This window comes from Homo sapiens, chromosome 7 (genome assembly GCF_000001405.40).
Source record: "Homo sapiens chromosome 7, GRCh38.p14 Primary Assembly".
Classification (NCBI taxonomy): domain Eukaryota; kingdom Metazoa; phylum Chordata; class Mammalia; order Primates; family Hominidae; genus Homo; species Homo sapiens.
The window spans coordinates 19,379,954-19,406,092 of NC_000007.14; the positions used below are offsets into that span (position 1 = coordinate 19,379,954).

General features: G+C 35.0%; 1 long non-coding RNA gene across 2 annotated transcripts, besides 1 other annotated feature; it reads left to right on the forward strand.

Annotated features, from left to right (window-relative positions):
- Window positions 1-990: 990 nt before the first annotated feature.
- Window positions 991-25,950, forward strand: LOC105375179 (uncharacterized). Of its 2 annotated transcripts, none has more exons than XR_007060244.1 (6): window positions 991-3,129; window positions 8,475-8,502; window positions 12,315-13,491; window positions 16,590-16,622; window positions 23,748-23,810; window positions 25,379-25,950. It is a non-coding gene; the product is annotated as an uncharacterized LOC105375179 (long non-coding RNA). The 2 variants fall into 2 exon arrangements; XR_007060243.1 differs by lacking the exon at window positions 16,590-16,622 and having other exon boundaries at window positions 12,315-12,415; window positions 13,449-13,491.
- Window positions 1,260-1,460: a silencer, noted in NCBI's record as "peak6420 fragment used in MPRA reporter construct". NCBI's record gives its function as "represses an SCP1 promoter by STARR-seq MPRAs in K562 erythroleukemia cells {active_cell/tissue: K562}" and the evidence as "EXISTENCE:reporter gene assay evidence [ECO:0000049][PMID:32103011]".
- Window positions 25,951-26,139: the final 189 nt, after the last annotated feature.

Here is a 26,139-nt window from a genome sequence, read left to right on the forward strand (position 1 = left end):
AACAATGTTCTTGTCCATGTCTATATTCGAGTTCATATATCGTATGGATATAGACATATATATTTATTCTTTATCTAATCAGAATAAGAGGTGTTCCCAGAATACCTGCTCTCATCATTTGGATTATGATAGTGGTACTTTCTTCACCTGATAGTTTTTGCACAAAAGTAAATATTTTATTTGAGAATAATTAATAATGTTCTTCAATTAGAAAAGCTTAATGAAAAAAAACTGTCTATTTTTTATCTGCTTTTAAAAGTTTACCTGTATTTTTTCTCCTTCTTTTCTGCCTGCCATCTTTTTAATCTTAATAGTAAGTCTTCACGTGAAAAAATAAAGCATTGGCCAGGTGTGGTGGCTCACTCCTGTCATCCCAGCACTTTGAGAGGCCAAGGCGGGTGGATCACTTGAGGAGTTTGAGACCAGCCTGGCCAACATGGTGAAATTCCGTTTCCATTAGAAATACAAGAAATTGGCCGGGCGCAGTGGCTCACACCTGTAATTCCTACACTTTGGGAGGCCAAGGCGGGTGGATCACCTGCGGTCAGGAGTTCGAGACCAGCCCGACCAACATGATGAAACCCCGTCTCTACTAACAATACAAAAAAATTAGCTGGGTGTAGTGGCACGTGCCTGTAATCCCAGCTACTCAGGAAGCTGAGGCAGGAGAATCACTTTAACCTGGCAGGTGAAGGTTGCAGTGAGCCGAAATTGCGCCACTGCTCTCCAGCCTGGGCAACAAGAGCAAAACTCCATCTCAAAAAAAAAAAGCCAAAAAAAAACCAAAAAACAAAAAAATAACCCACAAGAAATTAGCCAGACATGGTAGCAGTGTCTATAATCCCAGCTACTCGGGAGGCTGAGACACGAGAATCACTTGAACCGGGAGGTGGAAGTTGCAGTGAACCGAGATTGAACCACTGCACTCCAGCCTGGGTGACAGAGCAAGACTCTGTCTCAAAAAATAAATAAATAAATTAATTAATTAAATTAAAATAAATAAAGCATTTAGCATTTAGATTACTATGTGATGGGTCAACTTAGAGTTTTATATTCGCTGTGTTCTGATTATTCATTAAGATAGAATGGCTGTGACAATTAGTTTGTTCACCCCATACAATTGTACTACTGTTCTTAAGGCCCTTACATGGTGGATCAGGCAGTAAAGACAAGCAGTATCTGTTGCTTCCATAACATTTCCATGTAGCCAACTTTGCTAATTGCATGAAACAAATTTACATGGTTAGGCTATTTCTCATAAATGCTCAACGTATACTTGTCCCTCAGCTGTCCTCTTACACTGATAGTGTCTTACTCTAAAGATTCTAAAATATCCCCAAACAATCTGCTTAATAACTACAAGGAGGTTGTTGAAACTTACAGACAACTTCTAGGTTTACACCAGCAGCTGAATACATTTATTGCATGTCCAGCTTAAGGAAGCATTTATAAATTGAAATCTTTAATGAGTTTCCTAACTTAGGCGGGAGAAGAAGATGCAATCAAGATGTATTTTTCCTGTGAAAAGTAGGAGATAGTTGAACAGTATTAGAAGTTGAACAGCTGGTCACTGTTTATGAAAACAGCTAGGCTCTTATCCATAAGACAGGAAAGAGAGTCAAAAGCCAAAGTCTCCTTTTAAGATACAGCTGGAAAGTTTTCAGAGTTCAAGGAAAATTTTAAACCTAGGGTAGATATGCCTTTTTTTCCCTCTTGTAGTAATAGTAAAAAGAAGAGTAAACCAAAAAATCTCAAGAGTAAAAATACCTTTATCAATTCAACAATTGATATTCTACCAAACACATATATTACTTTTGGGAAAAAAAATTGCAAACTTTTACCGCAAGTAAGAACAGGTCAGTGATGCAGACACTTTATAAAAATAAGAGGAAAATGCATTAAATGTAAAGTGGATAAAAAAGTATAAAACAAGAAATATAGCTAAGCATGACTTTCAATTTCTCTTATGGTCTCCTTAATGACTGAAAATAAATTAGAAACTTTAGCAGGAAGTACTTTTTTCAAGGTAGAATGAACAGCTTTCTAGATCAGCTATCTGTTATCTAGTAGATTCACTGAGTTTTATGGCCAAAGGGACTTAGAAAAGGAGCTCTGGATAGAAAAATTAGGAGGAAGTAGATTGAATGATTTATTTCTATATTATTTTATTGATAAGTTTAATCGTGATTCTTTCTGTGGCAAACATTTGTCCACTGTCAGAGAAGGATTAACCTATGTAAAACAGTTGAAATCAGATTTAGAGGCCATTTTGAGTAAGTAAGAAAAAAAAATAAGGAATTAAATACAACATCATCCTACAAATAAACTTCACTCCACTAGGCAGTTGTATTCTGGAAGTATCATATTACTGTATTTTAACAGGTGACGTGAGACTTGCAAAAAAATACCTGGTCCCCCAACAGATAAATATGAATTTGTTCAGAGCTATGTCCATACATAATAACTGGAAGTGCTCCATTGGATTCTTTTATTTTTCTTTAGGTTGCTACTAAGTTCTGATAAAACAATTGATTATTATTTTGGACAAGGGAATTTAAATTATGCATGGAAACATAAATATATGTAAGTTTTACAGAGAAGATAATACTATGAATTTAGTGCGTTTGAATTCAAAAGAAAAGATATCAAATTAAAACGCAGCATGAGTTAAACCATGGTTTTAAAAGCTTGCACACACATCTAGGTTTTCAAATAAATCAGATTAAATTAGCTGTTATTTTATTCTCTTCTTTAGCTGCTTTTGAAATATGTGGCAGGATTCGTCATTTGACTTAAAAAATGAATGTAGTTGCTTATTTCCTTTTCAGCTTTTTTTCATTACTGTAAAAACAAAGTTTTAGCAGTCCATGTCTGCTCTCATTTCATCAAGAACCAGTAAAAATTAAATTTAAAAAACACTTTGAGAGCTTGCCCTAAAGTTAGCAGCAATAAAGCATATGCTGGTCTGCATATAGTTTTAGTTTTCATTCCCTTCAAACTTTTGTACTCTTCTCAAAGCTTTGACTGCTATTTTCTTTCCATGATTAGATTGTTATGGCCACACCATCTACCTGAAGAGAATTATGATACTGGTTTGGAACAAAACTCTCCTTTTTTTGGAAAGTGCAGGTAAACAATGTGGCCTTTGCATTCTGTACTATTGATGAAACCCCGCCTCTCTCACTTTCTTTTCTTGCTACCATTATCAACAGTCCCTCTGCAAAAGAGGATGTAGATTTTCCTTATCTTTCCAATCTAATGCTTCTAAATAATGTCAGTCTTGGTTCACCCATGATGTAAACCACTCTAATTTCCTTTATAGACTTCAAATGTAAAGTTCATTTGATTTATTGGTAACTTATGTGCTACTCCTTTCACAAATATTGCACAGCCTTTGCCAGAGGATGCTTCCTAGACATAAACCCCAAATGGTGCAAAAGTGAAAACTGACTCTAAAAGCTGTTAAAACAGTGCGTGGATGAAATACGCTAGATAATCTTTTTTTTTTTTTTTTTGGTCAAGTGTAAATGAAGCAAAGCTTCCCTTCACTTATATACATGTGTGCATGTGTGCATGCACACGTGCACACATACTACTTAAAGGTTTGTAGATGTAACTTTTGTTGCAACCTAAGTCTCTGCAAACCTGTTTTCTTATATCTTGTCAATAATGCCATGACCAAATAATTAAAATCTTAGACTTTCAGAGTTAGGAACTTGCTTTTGGCTGAGTGGGTAGACATAGAGTTACAGAATGCCTGGGAAGGCTGTATGAAAGAAAAATCATAGGCAAGTACAAAAGCATATAACCTCAAATTAGAAAATAGTTGTGAAAAGAAGATAAAAGAAAAAAAAACATTTCTGTATAGTGTTAAGAAATCTTAAAAAGTAGCAAAATGCTTATCATGTGTATATATAGAATAGCTGATAGAAAGCATAATCCTGAGGTCCTAAAGAGCCTTCAGTAAAGCACAATACTTGTAAGCTATAGGTAATTGGTATTATCTATAAAAGGCACATAGCTCATCTTCCAACTTACGATGACACCAAGAAAAAGTTACCTACTGATGGTTGAAAATTAATATCTAATACTTATTATAGGCAAAAGTTTTTGGGAAAAAAATTCTAAGTCATATTAGAAATCTCCTAAGAGGGTAGTCAATAAAACTAAAGATTTAAAATTTTCTCTTGAGTAAAAACTAAATAAAAAATCTCACATAAAATCCTTAGGTCTTATAAAATATGAAACATTTATTACTTTTTCTCTGTATTATATTTCATTCACTATAACAAGAATTTGTTGAGTTAAAATTAACATGCAATGAACCTTAGTTTCCTAACACCTTGTGCACTTTCGGATATAGAATAAATTTTTTTTATTTATTATTTATTTATTATTCTTATGATTATTTTTTAATTTGAGCCAGTTCGGCAGAAGGCTGGATGTATTGCCAGGGTAGATGTGTTCTGCTGAGAAGCCAAGTACATGTCATAGAGAGTAAGAGGAACAATGGCTTGTAAGGTGGTCACATGCGTGGCTTTAGCCTTTTAGTCAGTAAATAGGGCACCACCATGTGTCACGTCAGAGAGGTCCATCATCCTTCCTTCTGTTTTAGCCTTGGATCCAACCTCACTGAGCCACCCTCAAGGTTAAATGGGCTTTCTGATACCCTTATAATCTGTTCTCTGAGCTACTAACATTGCCAAAAGCCAATGAAGAAGTAGTACTAACATTCATCAGAATTCATTTCTACTCCAGCACCTGTTGTTTCCTGACTTTTTAATGATTGCCATTCTAACTGGTGTGAGATGGTATCTCACTGTGGTTTTGATTTGCATTTCTCTGATGGCCAGTGATGATCAGCGTTTTTTCATGTGTCTTTTGGCTGCATAAATGTCTTCTTTTGAGAAGTGTCTGTTCATATCCTTTGCCCACTTTTTGATGGGGTTGTTTGTTTTTTTCTTGTAAATTTTTGAGTTCTTTGGAGATTCTGGATATTATCCCTTTGTCAGATGAGTAGATTGCAAAAATTTTCTCCCATTCTGTAGGTTGCCTGTTCACTCTGATGGTAGTTTCTTTTGCTGTGCAGAAGCTTTTTAGTTTAATTAGATCCCATTTGTCAATTTTGGCTTTTGTTGCCATTGCTTTTGGTGTTTTAGACATGAAGTCCTTGCCCATGCCTATGTCCTGAATGGTATTGCCTAGGTTTTCTTCTAGGGTTTTTATGGTTTTAGGTCTAACATTTAAGTCTTTAATCCATCTTGAATTAATTTTTGTATAAGGTGTAAGGAAGGGAGCCAGTTTCAGCTTTCTACATATGGCTAGCCAGTTTTCCCAGCACCATTTGTTAAATAGGGAATCCTTTCCCCATTTCTTGTTTTTGTCAGGTTTGTCAAAGATCAGATGGTTGTACATGTGTGGCATTATTTCTGAGGGCTCTGTTCTGTTCCATTGGTCTATATCTCTGTTTTGGTAGAAATACCATGCTGTTTTGGAGAAATAGGAACAATTTTACACTGTTGGTGGGACTGTAAACTAGTTCAACCACTGTGGAAGTCAGTGTGGCGATTCCTCAAGGATCTAGAACTAGAAATACCATTTAACCCAGCCATCCCATTACTGGGTATATACCCAAAGGATTATAAATCATGCTGCTATAAAGACACATGCACACGTATGTTTATTGCAGCACTATTCACAATAGCAAAGACTTGGAACCAACCCAAATGTCCAACAAAGATAGTCTGGATTAAGAAAATGTGGCACATATACACCACGGAATACTATGCAGCCGTAAAAAATGATGAGTTCATGTCCTTTGTAGGGACATGGATGAAGCTGGAAACCATCATTCTCAGCAAACTATCACAAGGACAAAAAACCAAACACTGCACATTCTAACTTATAGGTGGGAATTGAACAATGAGAACACTTGACACAGGAAGGGGAACATCACACACCGGGGCCTGTTGTAGGGTGGGGGGAGGGGGGAGGGATAGCATTAGGAGATATACCTAATGTAAATGACGAGTTAATGGGTGCAGCACACCAACATGACACATGTATACATATGTAACAAACCTGCACGTTGTGCACATGTACCCTAGAACTTAAAGTATAATTAAAAAAAAAAAAGAGAATTCAATTCTATTGCAAGGACATAATATAGGCTATTTCTACCATGTAACACACATTTTTGGTGAAAATATTTGCTAAAATGAGTATTAAACAGCCTCCTTTCAAGATGATCAATATTATATTTCTTTAAACCTCACATATTCTGTGTAGGTGAGTTTTGAGCAATATTTTAAAGAGAAAATATCTCATATAGTCATTGAATTACTTGCAGTGATATAGAACAGCAGTAACTGCCTTGAACAAAAGACAGTTAACAAAATGTATGTTTCATCTTAATGCTACTTCATGATAGGTAGGGAATGAATTTGTCAACCTATATGAGTATAATACTAGCAGGTCAGTTTTAAAGACCACTGATTTGTATAAAGACTTTCAAAGGATTAAAAATGTAAAATAAACACATATCAATCCACAAAGTCAATGACTTATTAATATTTTTAGAACTGTATTAAAAGTTCTTAATTATAATTCTTTCCTATGTTATTAGAAATGCATGTTATTAATTTGTATGTGCTTTACTTAGTTCTTTAAATGTAAAGTGTTGCTTCTAAATTTGTGGACAAATCAGCTTTTGCTTTACCTAAAAGAATCCCACACTAGAACAAATGAGTTCTTTCTTTTAAAGTAGTATAACACGGTGTTTTAATAAACATACACATTGTTCAATAATTTTCACAATGAAGCTAATGAACATGCCTATATACTTAAGACATACCTTCTTAGTGTCTCTGAATTTCAAGCATATAGTGCATTTTTAAAATTGATAGTCAACATGCTGAACATTAGGTCTCCAAAATTCATTCAACCTGTCTAATTGAAATTTTTTAACCTTTGACCAAAATCTCCCCATTTCCTCAACCTCCAACCTCTGGTAACCATCATTCTCTCTCTTTCTGAGTTCAACGTCTCTAAATTCTACCCATAAATGAGATTATGTAGTATTTGTCTTTCTGGGTCTGGCTTATTTCGCTTAGTATAATGTCTTCCAGGTTCATTCATGTTGTTGGAAATGTGAGGACCTTCTTTTTTTTTAAGGCTTATTAATATTTCATTGTGTACACACATACACACACACACACACACACACACGATATATCCATCCATTTATCCATCAAGAGACAGGTGGTTTCCGTATCTTGGTTATAGTGAATAATGCTGCCATGAACTTTTGATAATAGCCTTTTTAATTTTTTTTTGTTGTTCCATACATTATTGGGTTACAGGTTGTATTTGGTTACATGAGTATGTTCCTTAGTGGTGCTTTGTGAGATTTTGGTGTACCCATCACTCAAGAAGTAAACACTGCACCCTATTTGTAGTCTTTTATTCCTTGCCCCCTCCCAGCCTTCCCCCGAAGTCCCCAAAGTCCATTGTATCATTCTTATACCTTTGTGTCCTCATGCTTAGTTCCCACATATCATTGAGAGCATACGGTGTCTGGTTTTCCATTCCTGAGTCACTTCACTTAGAATAATGGTCTCCAATCTCATTCAGGTCACTGCAAATGCCGTTAATTCATTCCTTTTTATGGGTGAGTAATATTCTATTGTATTTATATATACCAATTTCTTTATCCACTTGTTGATTGATGGGCATTTGGGTTGGTTCCATGATTTTGGAAAATAAATATAAAGTGATAACATCTTTGATCTAAAAAAGTGGGCAAAGGAACTAAATAGGTATTTTTCCAAGGAGGACACACAAATGGCCAATAGGTATATAAAAAGGTACTCAGCATCACCAATCAGAGAAATGCGAATCAAAACCACCATGAGATATCACTTCACATCAATTAAGATAGCTTTTATCCAAAGGCTGTTATCTTTGGATAAAAGACTGTTATCTTTGGGTAAAAGGACATGTTTCATTTCCACATATTTGTCAATTTTCCAATTTTTCTCCTGTTATTGATTTCTATTTTTATACTATCATAGTTGGAAAAAAATACCTACTTTCACTCTGCTTAAATTTGCTAAGACTTGTTTTGTGGCCTGATATAGAATCCATTGTAGATAATATTCTGTTTTATGCTTGAGAAGAATGCGTATTCTGCTGTTGTGGAATGGAATGTTCTGTATATATTTGTTGAGATCGTTCAAGTCCAATGTCTCCTCATTGATTTTCTGTCTGGATAATCTATCCATTGATCAAAGTAGGGTATTGAAGTCCCTTACTGTTATTATATTGCTGTTTATCGCTCCATTTAGTTCTGTTAGTATTAGCTTTACATATTTGGGTGCTCTGCTGTTAAGTGCACACATATATATAATTGTTATATATGTGATGAATTGACCCCTTTGTCATTATATAATTACCTTCTTTTTCTCTTTTTACAGTTTTGACTTACAGTCTTCTTTGTCTGATGTAAGTATAGCTACCTCTGCTTTCTTTTGGTTTCCATATGCATGGAATATCATTTTTCATCCTTCGCTTTCAGTCTTGTCTGAAAGCTGAAGTAAGTCTGATAGGCAGCATATAGCTGGATCTTGTATATATTTTTCTTTAACCCATTCAGCCACTCTATGTTTTGTTTACTGGATAATTTAATCCATTTACATTCAAGGTAATTATTTTTAGGTAAATACTTACTATTGTCATTTTGTTATTTATTTTCTGGTTGTTTTGTAGATCCTTTGTTCCTTTCTCCTCTTATTTTTCTTCTTTTGTGATTTGATACTTTTCTTTAATGACATGGTTTGATTTCTTTATCTTTGCTTTATCTACTGTAGCTTTTTGCTTTGTGATTACTATGAGGCTTACATATAACATCTTATAATCTTAACAATCTATCTTAAGCTAATATCTTAATTTGATTGCATATGAAAACTACATACTTACTCTCTTCCCGAATTTTTACGTTTCCAGTGACACAGTTTACATAGTTTTATATTGTGTATTGATTAACAAATTATTGTAGCTCTATTTGTTTCTAATAGTTTTGTCTTTTAACCTTTATGCTAGAGCTATAAGTTATACACATACCACCATTACTGTATTACATATTCTGAATTTGACTTTATACTTACTTTTACCAGTACATTTTATGCTTTCATATTACTTTATTTCACTAATTAGAATCCATCTTTTCAGCTTGAAGTATTCCTGTTGCATTTCTTGTAAGGCAAGTCTAGTAATAATGAATTCTCTCAGGTTTTGTTTGTTGGGGAAAGTCTTGATCTCTCCCTTGCTGAACAGCTTTACCAGGCAAACTATTTTTGGTTGGCAGGTTTTTCTTTTTCTTTTTCTTTTTTTTTTCCTTTTTTTTTTTGAGATGAAGTCTCTCTCTGTCACCCAGGCTGGAGGGCAGCGGGCGGCTCACTGCAACTTCCACCTCCTGGGTTCAAGCGATTCTCCTGCCTCAGCCCCCCGAGTAGCTGGGACTACAGGTGCGTGCAACCACGCCCGGTTAATTTTTTGTATTAGTAGAGATGGGGTTTCACTGTGTTAGCCAGGATGGTCTCCATCTCCTGACCTTGTGGTCTGCCCACCTTGTCCTCCCAAAGTGCTGGGATTACAGGCGTGACTCACCATACCCGGCCTTTTTTTTTTTTTTTTTTTTCAGTACTTCAAAAATATTATTACACCTCTCCTGGCCTGCAAAGTTTCTGCGGAGAAATCTGGTAGCCATTATGGTGTTTCCATCGTATGTGACAAACCACTTTTCCCTTGCTGGATTTAAGATTCTCTTTGTCATTGATTTTTGGCAGTTTGTTTATAAAATGTCTTGGTGAAGTCTTCTTTGGGCTGAACCTGATTGGAGAGTTTTGATCTTCATGTGCCTAGATGGTTGTATCTTTCAGTAGATTTGGGGAGTTTTCAGCCATTATTGAGCTAAATAAGCTTTTGTCATTTTATCTTATGAAATTCCTGTAATGCAAACGTGTCCCATGAATCACACAGGCTTTTTATGTACATCCCTTTTCACTGTTCATTTTCTCTCTTCTGACTAGATATTTTCAAATGTCTCTCTTGAGTTCACAGATTCTTTCTTTTATTTGATTAAGTCTGCTGTTGAAACCCTCTATTGCCTTTTAAATTTCATTCATTTGTATTCCTCAATTCCAGTGTTTCTGCCTGTTGTTTTTTTCCCATATCTATGTTTATTTTTTCATTTTGTTTGTGTATTTTTTTTCTTGATGTTATTAAGGTGTATAACAGTGTTCTCTTGTAGCTTGATAAGCTACTTTAATACAATTATTTTGAATTCTTTGTCAGGCACTTAAACTGACAAATTAGTTTGTGCTTTACCTAAAAAACACCCCAGAGCACAACAAATGATATATCCATTGTATTAGAGTAGGCATAAGTTTCCAACTAGTTTTTATTTCATTATATTTGTGGGTCTGACTTCTAATATTTACATATTTGTCTTTCTTCCATCCATGTCTTGTTGCTGACATTATTAGACCTGTGTTGCAGACGTTAATTATATATGAAATATATGAATTTGGTTTTATACTCTTATGTAAGAACAATATTTCTGTTTAACTTCAGCTGGATAATTTTGAATAGCACTCAGTAACCAGCAGAGAGCAAGATTAATTTCAATATGACACTGCAGAGAGTTCTATCCTGTTGCAGGAAGTGTTGTTTTTGCAACAATGGTAGATGCCCTTTGCTATTTTTCTGTCCCCTGACAGAAATTAATAGTAAAGATCTTACAAAGTAATTTATCAACTACTTTTTAAATTTACAGTCGTACAAACCATATGTCCTCAGTTGAGGGAATATGTTGTGTATGATTTTGCATCAAACTGTTAGTGAAAGGTAGATTCTGACCAGAGTAAGCTCTCGGGAGTAACTGATCCGGGTGACTTTGACTTTGGTTAGACTCACTGAGGCCTGGTCCTGAAAGAAGCTAAAGGGACCTGCAGCAGGACTCTGAGTGATCCCACAAGTTATGTAAACACAGATGTAGCAGGCAGAGGTGTGCAGCCCAGCAAAGAGCCCTGGCCGAAGTCAGAGCAATTAGCACATTTTGAAGTAAAGTGCCCACGCAGGCCTCAGAAAATAAACAAGCAGTTTTGTGTGTGCGTGTGTGTGTGTGTGTGTGTGTGTGTGTGTGTTTCAAAAAGCATCAAGGTAGGCTTAAAATCTTATAAAGTATCATAAAAATGGGATGGATTATGTACTATTTATATCTCATAAAAATATATAGTTGTAACTCTGTATAGATCTTTATGTTTATCTTTAACATAAAGGTAAAATATCCATTTAAAAATGTACTTTCAGCTGCTATTAAGCATAGATTATTATTAATATAAATGCTACCAAAGGTATATATTAAAAGAATATTATAAATGTACCACGCTAATGCAAATGGTTAATAACACAGGAAATTATAAGTGGGGAGGGTTGGATAATAATGTATGGAAACTGTATGTTCTACCCAGTTTTTCTGGGAATGTAAAATTACTCAAAAAACCCCAAAGTATATTAATTTTAAAAATATTTTTAAAAACAAAGTAAATTTAAAGCCATAATTCATGATGGGATAAAATAACTCCCCCCAGTGTCTACTTTCAAAAAGAAGATTAGAAGTGCTTTGTGTGTATTCATAATAGAAACAAATTGCTATAACTTATAGAAACGCTTCCCTTAAAAAATGAGGCTGAAGTATACATGAAATACTTTGTTAAAAATTTAATAATTTATTCTTCCAGAGTTTTTGTGTAGAAAAAGGTAAACAATATGTGTGTATATATCTTTTCTTTGTGTGGAGAGGGCAGAGGAGAGTTTCATAGCAGTATTTTCTAGTGATAGATAAATAATATCCCTTTTCTTAAAAAGCTTTGGAAATGATGAACATATTTAAATGTGACTTAAAAATTGTTTGACTTCGTAATGTAAATAAGTATTAATACATACAGAATCAGGCTTCATTTTATGCTGGTGTGGTATGGATAATGTGTATTTTCCAAAGTCTAGTGCTAGAGAGAGAGAGAGAGTAAACAAAAGTGTGATATCCAAGTGAAAACTATTAAAGAGTATTTTCCAGTAGTAAGCTTTATTTCCCATCATTTATCTTGTGCCACATCCTTCCTTAGAATATAACTTTTGATTCTGTTTTGTCTGAGAAACAATAGCAAGTTGATTAGAAAGCCCTGATGTTTAAACAAAAAGAAGTTGAAGCCTTGACAAAGAAAAATATTCTAATTCTGTCATTGGATTTACAGGATCAGAATTTATGGAGGCCTGAAGTTCCTGGCTCTCTCCGACATAACTTGCATTATTTGATCTAACCACAGTACCCCAAAGCTGAAAAAAAATCAGTCAGGTAGAATTCACGTGTATTTTTTCCTTCAATGAAATTCATTGTAGAGTAGCATATGTTTAAGGGAATGTGTGAGTTTTATTGCAGGTCAGAAAGGCTACACTACTAATCCGTGATTCACAAAGAAAACAGAGCACAGAAAGACCAGTGCAAGACTGCTGGGTTGGAGGTTGGAAGGTTCTAGTATGTAAACCATATTCCAGTCTGATATGTGTGCAACAATAGGGTAATGAAAATGAAAATACTCCATGTGGCTAAAAGACAGTCTTCTTTTTAGAGACCTTAGTGTTTTATTTAGAGGTTATTGGTCAGATTCAAGCAAGGCCAGAATGATTCTAAGTAAAGGTGCTTTGTGAAGTGCATAAACCATTTGTGAACTCAAGGGGAATATTAAATAAATTTCATTTGCCAAGAAGTTAATCAGTCAACCACAGATCCTTATGCAATGCAATTTATTGAACACCTGCCATATTAGAAGAGCTATAGCCAGCCAGGTGGTAAACGGAAATGGCAACACTGCCCTCAAGGTGCTTATAATCAGAAAAAAGTAAAAAGGATGGAAACTAAAATTTACAAAGGCCTCCAATTTTACAGTATTTTACATGCACTTACAAAGGATGCTTGAAGCATAAGTTACATGCAACACAGTCACCACCAACCAAAAAACAGATACATAAATATATACATGATCAGTCATAGGCATTTGTGTGTGCACATGAGCGAGTGTGTGAACATGGAGAAGTGAGGCACTTGCCTTTAGTTGGACTAGTTTTAGAAAGTAGTTGAACTTGAAACAAATTTCTGAAGAATTGGTAGGAAACAAGGAAGACACTTTGTAATTAGAAGACAGAATTCTGAATGATGTGTTTGGAAAATAAGTGCTCTGTCAAATTGTAGTAATCAAGTAATTAACTGTTGGCTTCCCAATTCAAAGTATCAACTTGATTTTAAAATAATTGGGAATAGTTAGAAGGATTTGAGCAGGGAAGTGATGCAAATAATTTGCTTGAGGAAGTCTCTTCTGTCTTATTTGTAGGACAAATGAGTTAAAAGAAGCAGGCCAGTCTCACAGCTTGAAGGTATGAAGAAGACTGATCTTTCTAACCACATTGTAAAGTTCTAGACATGTCCCAAGAAGTAGGGTCAGTTTTTCTTAAAATCAACTTTATTAAGGTGTAATCTGTATGTAATAAAGTGCTCCTATTTTAGATATACAGTTTGGTTGTTTATGTTTTGTTTTTTCAGCATTATTGAGGTATAATTGTCAAACAAAATCATACATATTTAATGTGTACAGTTCTGTAATTGGTTATATATATACATTGTGAAATGACTACTATCAGGTTAACTAGAACATTCATCACCTCACATAGTTACCGTTTTTTGAGAACATTTAAAATCTACTCTCTTAGCAAATTTCAAATATGTAATATGGCTTTACTTATTCACAACCTCTCTGCCTATTACCTCATTGAGAAAAATAGGACTACAACAAATGATTATTATAAAAATTATGAAATAATAGAAATAGATATGGCACATAGTAGATACTCAAATGACTAAGCTTCATCTGGATCTAAAATACAAATCCAATTATAATTACTATAATAGTATATTAATACATGGCCTCAAAAATAAAGTGAGTCTAAAAATAAATATAGTTTTTAGTTTTACAGTAAGATTATCCAGAGAAAATTAACATTCGGCAAAAGCCATATGTTTATAGTATCATCCCACATTCAGAAAAAAATACCTTTTTTATATAATCCAATGTATGCCCTATTACAATAAATCTATAGTTAATCGGAGGGATTTTTAAAAATTTGTTTTCTGAAGTAATTTTATTTCTGAGAAAATCCACAAGGCTGTGAACAGAATGATTTTGAACAAAGTGTTCAATGTTTCTCTTCAACCACCTAAATGGACATTTTAATGCAATCTCAGTCTTCTAGTCTAATTTTTCTTTCCTTATCAAATGGAATCTCAAGGAAGTACCAGTCTCTTTTTATTGTTGAGTATACAAAACACCAACACAAATGAAACGGCAAGATTAAAAAGAAAAAAAAACTGAATGGTTCTAATGTAGAGCATTGTTTTAACTAACTTTAATCTGATGGTTCTTTGGGTTTAAGGATTTGGGTTAATTTACATATATATTTATGTTTGTGATATATAAATAAACAAGGAAAGTTATTTGTGTGGCCATTCCATTGTAGTACCAACTTCAAAGCCGGAGAGTTTTTTCTTTAAAATTTAGCTTCCCTTCTTACCTGTTCTGGAACTCTGGCAGAGTTAACCTACCTTCAGGAGTTACTATACTAAATGAGGTTAAGAAAGCAGCCTAGGCGGGGCAACTTATCAAATAACTTACCCCTTTCTTTTCTTTTCCTTCTTGATTTGTAGCTACATCAGTCCAAGTGCAAGTAGACTCAAATCTAAAATAATTAACAGGGATAAAAACAGTCACTTGCATTTACTCAGCACTCCACAGTTGGCAAATGCTTCCAGGTTTATTATGCTATGTGGTGTGGACAGAGCAACTGTTTCTATTACCATTACACAAGATTATTCTGAATTTAGAGCAGTTTGGTTAGATATTATATATAACAAAATTAATAAATGTTATGGTTAGACTGAACCCCAGATGTCTCCACTCTAAGAGCAGGGCTCTCTACCATTCTGTACTGCTGTTGGCAGAGGTAGGGCTTTGGGGAGAGCAAGCCAAGTAGATAAATGAAGGCCAATTCATGCTAGGAGGTCAGTTTGAAGCCTTGGAATAAGCCAATGCTCATTTTTATGTGTCAAGGTAAATACTAAGTTTTCAATATACATTTTTAAAAATGCAGGTACTTGAGATAGAATTAGGGGTAGAACCATGTGTAGGCAAACAGCAACTATCAAAGGTTTGAGAAAATACTGAATTTAATTTTGGTAGAAAATAGTGAAATAGCAGGTTTGTAAGTCCTTTTAAGACGTTAGAACACATTTCTATTAATTAATGCAGAGCTTTCAATACTTTGTGTTTAGGGCATACTATCTAAATGTATTTGGTTTATTTGTTGAATTTGTAATATATTCACATTTTTCCAATTTTAAAGATGTAAGAGTAGATACAGCCAAAAGTTTATCTCCTAGATCTCTCATCCTAAACACATAGTTACCCTCCTGTATCAACCAGGGTTCAACAAAGAAGCAGTTGGAGGTAGTAGTATACATTTTTCTTTCTATCTATCTATCTATCTATCTATCTATCTATCTATCTATCTATCTATCTATCGGCTTACCTGATTGTGGGGTCTGGCTAAGCAAGTCCAGAATCTGCAGGGCAGCCAGTCAGGAAGAGTGAGATTATGGGCAGTCTCAAACCCACAGGTGGAGGCTTAAGCTATTAGCCTGTACAGCAAGGTAGTCAGGAAAGGAAGAGTCCAAGCAGGAGGGAACTCCACAGTAACAGCTAGAGGCTGTTGTCCATAGGCAGAAGGTCTCTTTTTCTCAGGAAATCTCTCTGCTGCGTTTTTGCCTTCTAGTGGATTCAGTCAGGTCCATGCAGAATATCCAGGATAATCTCTCTTACTTAAAGTTAACTGATTAGAAATTTTATTTATGTTTGCAAAATACCCTACCTGCAACATCTAGATTAGTGCTTGATTGAACAACTGGAGACCTTACATAGCCTAGCCAAGCTGACAAATCAATAAAACCAACACACCTTTCTAAAAATCTAATAATGTTATCAGTGTCTTATGTAGTTTTTTGGGGGTCAAAAAAGGTCTTTAACTGTCAGAGATTATAAAACATGCTAACATTATTTCTTCTAGCATTTATATAGTTTAATTTATCACATTCAAATCTTTGATACATTTGAAATTTACTTTTGTATAAGACTTGAGGTATGTAACCAAAAATATTTTATCCTAAGTGGCTATTTGTCTTTCTCAACACAATTTCTTAAGTAATTCATTTTTTCCTGTAGTGATTGAATTCCAACCTTCGGACTGCAATTTCCTAAATGTATTTGGGTTAATTCCTGGACATTCTGTTCTTTTCAAATTATCTGTTTATTTCTTCCTGCACTATTATCTTACACTTTTAACTACTATTGCTTTTGAATGTGTTTTAAAATGTGGTAGTACTAGGCTCTCCCATAATTTATTTTATTTTAATCCTTTGTTTTTAGTTTTCCATATGAATGCAAAAATCAGTTTGTCTGGTAAGAAACAGAAACATCTTTCTAATATTTCATAGAAGTAGCATTAAATTTATCAGTTACTTTAAATTTTGGGGGGGTTTCCTTTTATAAAAATTTCATTTTTTCCAGTCTCTCTTATAAAATATAGTAGTATTTTAAAATTTGCCTTCTATAGATCTTGTGCATTTCTTGCAAGCTTATCAGTAGACAAATTTTAAAATATTTCTATTGTTTCAGTTAATCATTGTTGTAAAAAAGGAATTTTCTCCATTATATCTTCTAGTCTATTGTGTGTCTATATGAAAGATATTGATTTCAGATTGTCCTTGCCAATTTACTGATTTCTCTAGAATTTTAATCTCTTAGATTTTCTATGTATGCAATCATGACAGTTTAGCTAATTCTATTTTTGATCTTGTATGTCTAATTTTTATGCTTCTGATTATTTTCCTAGTTGAACTCTAATGCTAATACTTCTTATATAGTGTTAAATGATTGTGAGGTAGTGGGCATATTTGTCTCAATTTTTACTTTACTGAAGATCTTCTTGGTATTTCTGCATTAAGCCTGAAATACAGGTGTGTGTATATATGTGTGTATGTGTATACATATGCACATGTATATATACACACATACATACTTATAGGAAATTATTAAAGATGATTTATCAAACTTCTTTTAGCATTTTCATAATTGTGTGATTTTTCTCTTTGGATCTACTTGTATGTTGAATTAATAGATTTTTTTAAATATGGAAACATCCTTGCTTTTTGGAAATAAACATCCTTTACATCTTTTAATATTCTTTTAATATTATGTTGCATTTTGTTTTGTTTTTTCCTGAATTAGTTATTTGCAAGAGAACTAATGGTATAGTTCCAGCCTGAAGCTTGGTATTCTTGGAACCCAGGAAGAACTGATGTTTTAGCTCAAGTCTAAAGGCAGGGAAAAAAAGCTGATGTCCCAGTTTGAAGGTCATTGGACAGGAGGAATTCTTTCTTACTCAGGGGAAGTTCAAACTTTTTGTTCTATTCAGTCCTTCAACTGATTGGATGAAGCTCATTCGCATTAGGAAGGGCAACTGCTTTATTAGTTAATTTCATCCAAAAATGCCCTCATAGAAACAATCAAATGTTTGACCAAAGGTCTGAGTGCCCCATGACCCAGTCCAGGTGACACATAAAAGTGACCATTACAAGCCCAGAGTTTTGCTGTTTTCATGTTGATTTTTCATGACAAGAGAAGCTGTGTGAATGCTCCTTTTCTGCTTTTTCTCTGTTTCTTACTGAGTTCCCAGCCTCTTTTCTAAATACATAGTGATCTAGCTAGACTTTGAAAAGTATAGGTTTAAAAGGATGTTAAATTATTAGCTTGTCTTGAGTACCCACGGATCTTGGTCTGGCCCTGTTCCTAAGGTTTGTGCATGAGGCTATCTGCAGCTCGAGGAAGTGAAAGCTCCCTTTCGTTCAACAGTGAGCCACCCTATGTGGGAACCTGAGGTTTTGTTCACATGACCTCATTGTGGAACTCAGCATTAAAACAGTGGGTAGAGATCTCTGAGGCTACTTAATAGTATGGTAGTACGTGAAGTTTCTCCTTTTGGGGTGTGGTATGTAGAAGTTGTGGTGACATTTTTGCTGATTTTATATGGTGAACCAACATGTGAGTCAATAAATGGATTTTTATAATTCACTTATGTATTTTCATAATAATAAGTGCCCAAAGGTCAGAATGAAGAAGCCACATCCTGCCTTTATAAAAACAAAATATCTGAGGAAGGATGTTGCCAGTTGAAATGTCATCTGTAGAGCATATTAAAGGCAAGATTGTTTGGAACCTGAATGAATAAAGTGTCAAAGAAGAATAGGCAAAAGAAGTGTCAGCGCTTGTCCAAAGGAAAATAATCTAAATTTAATGAAGTCTTAATGACTATATGCCTGTTGTTAGTTTTTATTATTCTTTTTTTTAAGATGGAGTCTTGCTCTGTCACCCAGGCTAGAGTGCAGTGGTGTGATCTCAGCTCACTGCAACTTCTGCATCCAGGGTTCAAGCAATTCTCCTGCCTCAGCCTCCTGAGTATCTGGGAATATAGGCATGTGCCACCAAGCCCAACTATTTTTGTATTTTTTTTTAGTAGAGAAGGGGTTTTGCCATTTTGGGCAGCCTGGTCTTGAACTCCTGACCTCGAGTGATCTGCCCACCTCGGCCTCCCAAAGTTCTGGGATTATAGGTATGAGCCACTGCGCTTTTAGGAAGAGCAATGTATAAGATCCTATTGGAAAATTCAAGAGAAAGATTAAAGAAAAGAAATCTATGCCTGAAGAACTTACAGTTCAGTGTGATTAATGGATAAAGGATGAATGTGTGAAGATAAGATTGAAAAGACAAGCTCTGGCTATTCCACTGAGGGCCTTGTTTGTGAAGCTAAGGCATGTGAAACTTCCTTCTGTTGTTAGCGACCCATCAAGATCATTAAACAAGTAAGTGACACAATTGGTGAGTTTTCGGAAAAATGTCACTGGTGATAGTAAGGATGGATAAAGGCTTGAAAAGAAATTTTAAAAGACCTGAACACTGAAAAGATTCTAGGGGCCCCTTTTATACGATTTAAAATAATACACGGTGGGCGCAGTGGCTCATGCCTGTGATGCCAGCACTTCGGGAGGACGAGACGGGCAGATCATGAGGTCAGGAGATCGAGACCATCCTGGCTAACACGGTGAAACCTGGTTCTCTACTAAAAATACAAAAAATTAGCCGGGCATGGAGGCGGTTGCCTGTAGTCCCAGCTACTCGGGAGGCTGAGGCAGGAGAATGGCGTGAACCCGGGAGGAGGAGCTTGCAGTGAGCTGAGATTGCGCCACTGCACTCCAGCCTGGGAGACAGAGCAAGACTCCATCTCAAAAAAATAAATAAATAAAAATAAAATAATACACAAAGCATACACAAATGTTGAAATTAAAATAACACACAATTTATATAATTATAACTGCTTTCCAGAGCTTCAAATTTCAAATTTCTGCATACATTCATTGAACCTAAGCTTTTCTCATATTTTATATTGTGTTTGCTTTACTGACACCAGAATAACATGGTTTTCTTGCCCACCAGGTAGTTGAGCCCAGCATTCCATGAGAATTTGAATTAAGGCAATGGCAGTGGAGATTCATGGACAGTAGGGAGATTAGGAGGTGGAGTTTAGATAATGTGGAAACCGAATGGCAGCGGAGGTCAGAGATTTGAAGGTTTCTAGCTTAGAATCATGGGCAGATTCAAATAAAAAGGTATAGGAGAAAGCAAATATTTGGAAGCATATGCTAAGTCTAAAATGTAGATTAATTCTTATTGCCTCACATGGAAGTGGTTTGCAAATAAATTTTCTGGTAGTAGAATAGTGCTTTTTTCTAAATTTATATGGACTAAAGTTATGTTTTTGAAAAATAGAAATTTAAATAACTTCTAGAACCGAGCACAAACTTGAGATTCAGGATCAACATTTTATCTTTTCCTCATGTAGAAGGTCTTTTGATGTCAGAGACCTTGGCTAGTTGTTTGAAAAAAAGCTAGCATTCATTACCAAACTGCATGCATTTGTCAACTGTCTATTATTGTTCAAGGCTATGAATGACTTTTATTTCTCTAGCCAATGCCGATGATAAATGTGGGTAGATGACTAAAAAGTAATAAAAGGAACTAACAGTTTCAGGGTCCTAAAGAACCTATGCCTGCTACAGAATTCTGAAATACTTTTCCTTTTTGACAGTTGTTTCTTTGACATAAACATACACACAAAATCTTTATGAAAGCCTGTCCTTTGCTATGGTATATGAAAGCATGTAATCCATTCTTTATGTACTAGTACTTTCCATTCTTTATGTACTAATACTTCTTGGCCTGAAATTATATTGGAAAATGCCAGTATTAAATAAAATAATGAAGTATTAATTATTCTTGCCTTGTTGCTGATCATAGTATGCTTTGGAATGTTGTTAATGAATATTAGCAAAAGTAAGAGAAGACATTCAGACTGATTTAGGATGAGTTCTGATGTAGAAACATAGCTTTTCTTTTCTCCTCCTTCTCCTTCTCTTTCTCTTCCTTCCCCTCTTTATCATCTTCTCTTTCTCCTCTCCCTTGGGTATTGAATACAAAAATAAAAAGGCAAATGGAGCTTACTTCTTAGGTTCTTATAGTTGGCAATCTGACTGTCTCCTGACATAGTCTTTCTTTTGGCTTTGGGAAAATATCAGCATGAAGAGGGTGACCCTGTGCACTTGTTTTAGATGAAGGTAAACAGAAGACGATATTACTTGCCTGAATGGAGTAGACTATCCCATGGAGGAGAATAATAGCTGTCTTCTAGTTTTTGTTTTTCTAAAAAGACCAGTGAAGACTTAAAAGGAGAAAGAACTGGAGAGGAGGGTGAAAGATGATTACCTTAAGGATTAGAGCTGTTACCCTGGTGAAGTCTGCAAATACTGTTTCTAAGCGATAGGCTGAATGTCTCTTAAATGAAATGAATTACGACCAAGGGATTAGCAGTAAATCTTTACAAGAAAATATCTCTCAGTTAGTTATTCATTATGATGGTATGATTTCAATAAGAATGGATATTGTTTCAGTCATTAACCATGCTCAGATAAATATTATTTTAAAAGATCGGTAGAAATACATCACTTTCTGAAAAAGTTCAAATTTCTCATTTCATCACAAATTCAGCTATGTTAGCTAACATAAAATCATCAAAACTGATTCTTTTAATGAAAAAAACTGCATTCTTCCTGCTCTTTTTAGTGACCTTACAAATAGAAATATTTTAAACATTTACGTAACATGTACTAGATATAGGAGGTTTTATAGATGCCTTGTACAATGCTATAATACTCTTGGCATTTTTTATTTTAAAAAAGTAATCAGAAACACATTGGGAGCTCAAGAAATAGTATATATGCTTCAGGTTAACGTGGTAATGGCTCTGGCCTTTAACCCTGATGCAACTGTTCTATCCTAACAGCTCTTTGTGAAAGGATACCAAATACTGAAGAAATTGGAAAGGTTAACAAAGTTAGTGGACAAAATAAACTTGATACTGAGAATGAACTTTCACATGCAGCAAAAAAATAAACAGTATTCTCTTAGGCTAGTCTTCAAAGGATGTTTAAGATGCCTATATGCTTCTCAGTGCTAAGTTCGTCCTCTCTTTTGAGGAGAATTATTTATACAAAGGGTTACCAAATTCATAGTGAGTCAATGATTGCAAATTCATAAGAACTAAAAATGTATGGGATCATTTGAAAACAATTGATAACTGGCTGCCACTGGGGTGGCAATAATACCTGAGAACTTGCCATTTTTCCAGTCATTTTCATGACATCCAAGTGTAAGAGGTATTCTCAAGCTCTACGTAGAACTGAGTGAATTATTTTCCTTCATAATTTACAGAATTTGGGCCCAAAATATAACCTGAATTGTTGGCAGCTACAAAGTAATATAAAGCCTGACTTCTGTTACTGACACATTTTTAAAGTTCACAGCTTAGGCTGACTCTACAATGGGAATTACATATCAGATTACTTTTCTTTTTTTTATTATTTATTTATTTATTTATTTATTTTTATTATTATACTTTAAGTTTTAGGGTACATGTGCACATTGTGCAGATTACTTTTCTATTGTAGAAACAGTAAAGAACACTCTTACTATAAAGCTCTTTGTGTGATCAGCTAAAAACAGTGTGGAAAGACCATTAAAAATACACTGAAAAGGTAAAGGTATTTTTTTACTTGTTTCTGCATGCCATCTAAGTAGTTTCATTGGTATTTTCTAAAAGCCACACATCACCCTGAAGATGTAAAGATGGTTTCTCTCTACTGCACACAAGTGCCCCTTAAAAGAAATACCCCAGACCAAAACTCAACAAAGCAGTCTGAATGTTATTATTATTATTATTTTTGTAATGAGAAGTACAGGTTAGGGACTTCCCCCCATCAAGAAAATAATGTTTACATGTAAGAAAAAGGAAAGGACAGACAAGATTGGTCATATCTGGTTTTGCATTTAAAAATCCAATCCTTGATGGCTTAAAAAATAAAATTTCAGGTGGTCTTATTTTTTAACTCAACAAAGTTCCAGTTGTTATACAACTCGTCTTATTAATTTATTGTTGGGTTCTGCAAAAGCTTCTCCATTTTGCCAGTCTTCCAAAGTATTGGTTGATGTGGCTAGCAGTCTTTCAGAAAACACCAGGATTAACAGGGTATTTGCACACCTGCAAAGCTCATTTAATGACTGAAATTGCAAATGCTGCACAAGTAAAACAAAAAAAATGTATATTTTAAGTTATTTTAGTGACCACAGCTATATAACATTATTCATAAAACCAAACATGCATGTCTATATATTATGTATTTCAAGATGTAGTTCTGATTGATTATTATCCCATGTCAAATATTTTGATTTGCTGGAAGAAATGACAAAAATCCTTAAGAAAAATGGGCAAATTTATAAGGAAATACCTAAACAGCAAAAGCATTAAGCAAAGACCCTACTAATCTTGGGAGTCCTAAAGTCAAGGAACAAATGAAAGCAGACAAGAATCAAGAACAACAAGGCGGGTTATTTTTCTAAGGACTTGCATTTTGATGCATTACCATGCATACTTAGACTACACAAATTAACTTCCCTGGGAGGTATTCTCTGGATGCTCACCCACTTTTCAGATGTGTGCATTTTTTTTCAAACTGGCATTTGATTGTTAAGTTTTCCTCAAGAGATTCTCATTTTGATGATTTCTAGTTTTCTTGAAAATGCTCTTTTTTCATAAAATCATTTTAACTGAGGGCTGAGCTTTCACCCTGACTTAGTATGGTGACCTGAGGTTGAGAGGGATTATATATTCAGGACTGAAATTATAACCTGAGCAATAAATATCATATAGAAATTCTACCCACGTTTCACTTCTAAAGCTCGTAGCAGACTTATCTAATTGATTAGGGAACTAGACATAGCTTGAGAATCTTCCACAAGTCCTTGTTCAAGGCAGCCACCATTAAGTTCTTGGTTCAAATGATGAAATCTATTTGGCATTCCACATTAGATTTATATTCTAAGCTTTAATATCTACTCTTTCTCTTCTCTTCATTGGAGATGATAACATTTACTTACTGCTTCACTGACATAAGAACCAGCCCTCGAGAAGAATATACAGAGGTATAGTGCAACTTTTTCTTCTAAAGCTATTGAACTATGGTAAACATCCTATGACTAAAAGAGACTTTAACAGAATTTCCCTAAGAGATTATAATCTTTTATTTATTTATTTTTTGAGATAGGGGCTTGCTGTGTCATCTAGGCTAGAGTGCAGTGCAGTAGCACAATCTTGGCTCACTGCAGCTTTGACTTCCCGGGCTCAAGCAGTCCTCCCACTTTAGCCTCCCAAGTAGCTAGGACCACATGTGCTTGCCACCAGGCCCAGCTAATTTTTATATTTTTTGTAGAGACAGGGTTTCCTCATGTTTCCCAGACTGGTCTTGAACCCTGGTCTCAATCCTGCCTGCGTCAGCCTCCTAAAATGCTGGGATTACAGGCATGAGCCACCACGCCTGGCCTATAATCTGTTTTATTTCTAAGTCACCGTTGCTCATCCTACGTTCATTCTTACAAAATGAGTTAACTATATTATTGAGTTAATCCAAAATGGAATTTTTTTATTTTTTATTTTTTTTTTTGAGATGGAGTCTCGCTCTGTTGCCCAGGCTGGAGTGCAGTGGCACCATCTCGGCTCACTGCAAGCTCTGCCTCCTGGGTTCATGCCATTCACCTGCGTCAGCCTCCCGAGTAGCTGGGATTACAGGCGTCCACCGCCAAGCCCAGCTAATTTTTTCTTTTTTTTTTTTAGTAGAGACGGGGTTTCACCGTGTTAGCCAGGATGCTCTCGATCTCCTGACCTCCTGATCCGCCCGCCTCGGCCTCCCAAAGTGCTAGGATTACAGGCGTGAGCCACCGTGCCCAGCCCAAAATGGAAATTTTTAGGAAGTTAGGTTTTGCTTGTGAAAGTGATCATACGCTGTCCTACCACTATCATTTTACTGTGGGTGCAGGAAAAGAAGAAATAAGATTTGCTCCTTAATAGATAAGCTTGGTGTTATTGACTTTAAAATGAAAATTATCCTTAAAAACCTTAAAAATCACAGCTTGCTAAATATTAGTAACTAATGCACTCACTGCTCTCTTTATATATATTTTTCAAAATGTAAAGAATTTGCTACTTAACTTTCAGCTTTATTTGAAAACTAATTTTCAACTCAGAAAACCTGTGGGTTTTGTACATTTTCAGTATAAGAGAATGGGTACTAAGTTACAGTTAGAGGCTTTAAATAAGTGGAGATTCCCATTTTGAGTGGGTGTGAGGGCACATCTGCAAATTGTAGTCCTGATTCAACTTCAGTCTGTGTTTTCCTCAGTGTGACTCATTCAGTCATCACCCAGGCTGTGTGATTACTGACTCCGAAGTATGTGAAACACTCAAACAGTTGGGATTCCTTTTGGAGCATATACAAACAACTTAAATCTTCCAATTCAGATTATGTGGTTGGGCTTAAGACCGTTATGAAGGCGGGGAGGAAAAACCTGAAGGCTGTTTGTGGCTACAGGGTGTGGTGTTGTGGGGTTGGTGGCAGAGATCTGTGGTGTTAGTTAATACAGGAAGATACTCAAGTTACATTCAGTGTAACATACCAAACTTGCAAATTCTGTCTCCCTCCCTCTCTTTCTTTCAGGAGTAGTTGCCAGCAACCTTCCTGCCAACTTGGCCCAAGGTAGGTTACTTTAGGTACACTAGAAAACCAATTTCTCTGCAGTTTTTCATCCTTATCAAACTCACCTAAAGTCTAAAGAAAAACTCTTTCTGATTATAGATATTTGTTTCAATCAGTTTTATAGGAACGGCAGTCTCTGCTCATCTCTCCTTCCTGAAATTCTAGAACTCTTTAAACACAATTGCCACAAAATTGCCATGGAAGGAAACCTTTCATCACTTTTTAAATTATTGTCTCCATTTTTCAATTCTTTGGATGTTAAAAATTGGGATATAATTTGCATACCATGATATTCACTGTTTTAAAGTGTACATGTCAGTGGTTTTTAGCTTTTATTCACAGAGTTGTGCAACCATTATCATTATCTCATTCCAGAACATGTTCGTCACCCAGAAAAGAAACCCCATACCCGTTAGCCATCACTTCCCATTCTTCCCTCTTTCTAGCTCCTGGCAACTCCTAATCTATTTTCTGTCTTTATGGATATGCCTATTCTGGACATTTCATATAATTGGAAATAAAATGTGTGGCCATTTGTGACTGGCTTCTTTCACTAGGCATAATATTTTCAAGATTCATCTATGGGTGAATAATTTTCTATTTTATGGATATACCACATTTTATTTATCCATTTATTGTTTGATGGACATCTGATCAGGAAATGAATTCCTTCCTCTTTTCTTCTTTTCTTATTTCTCTCATTTTGCTTCATATTATTCCAG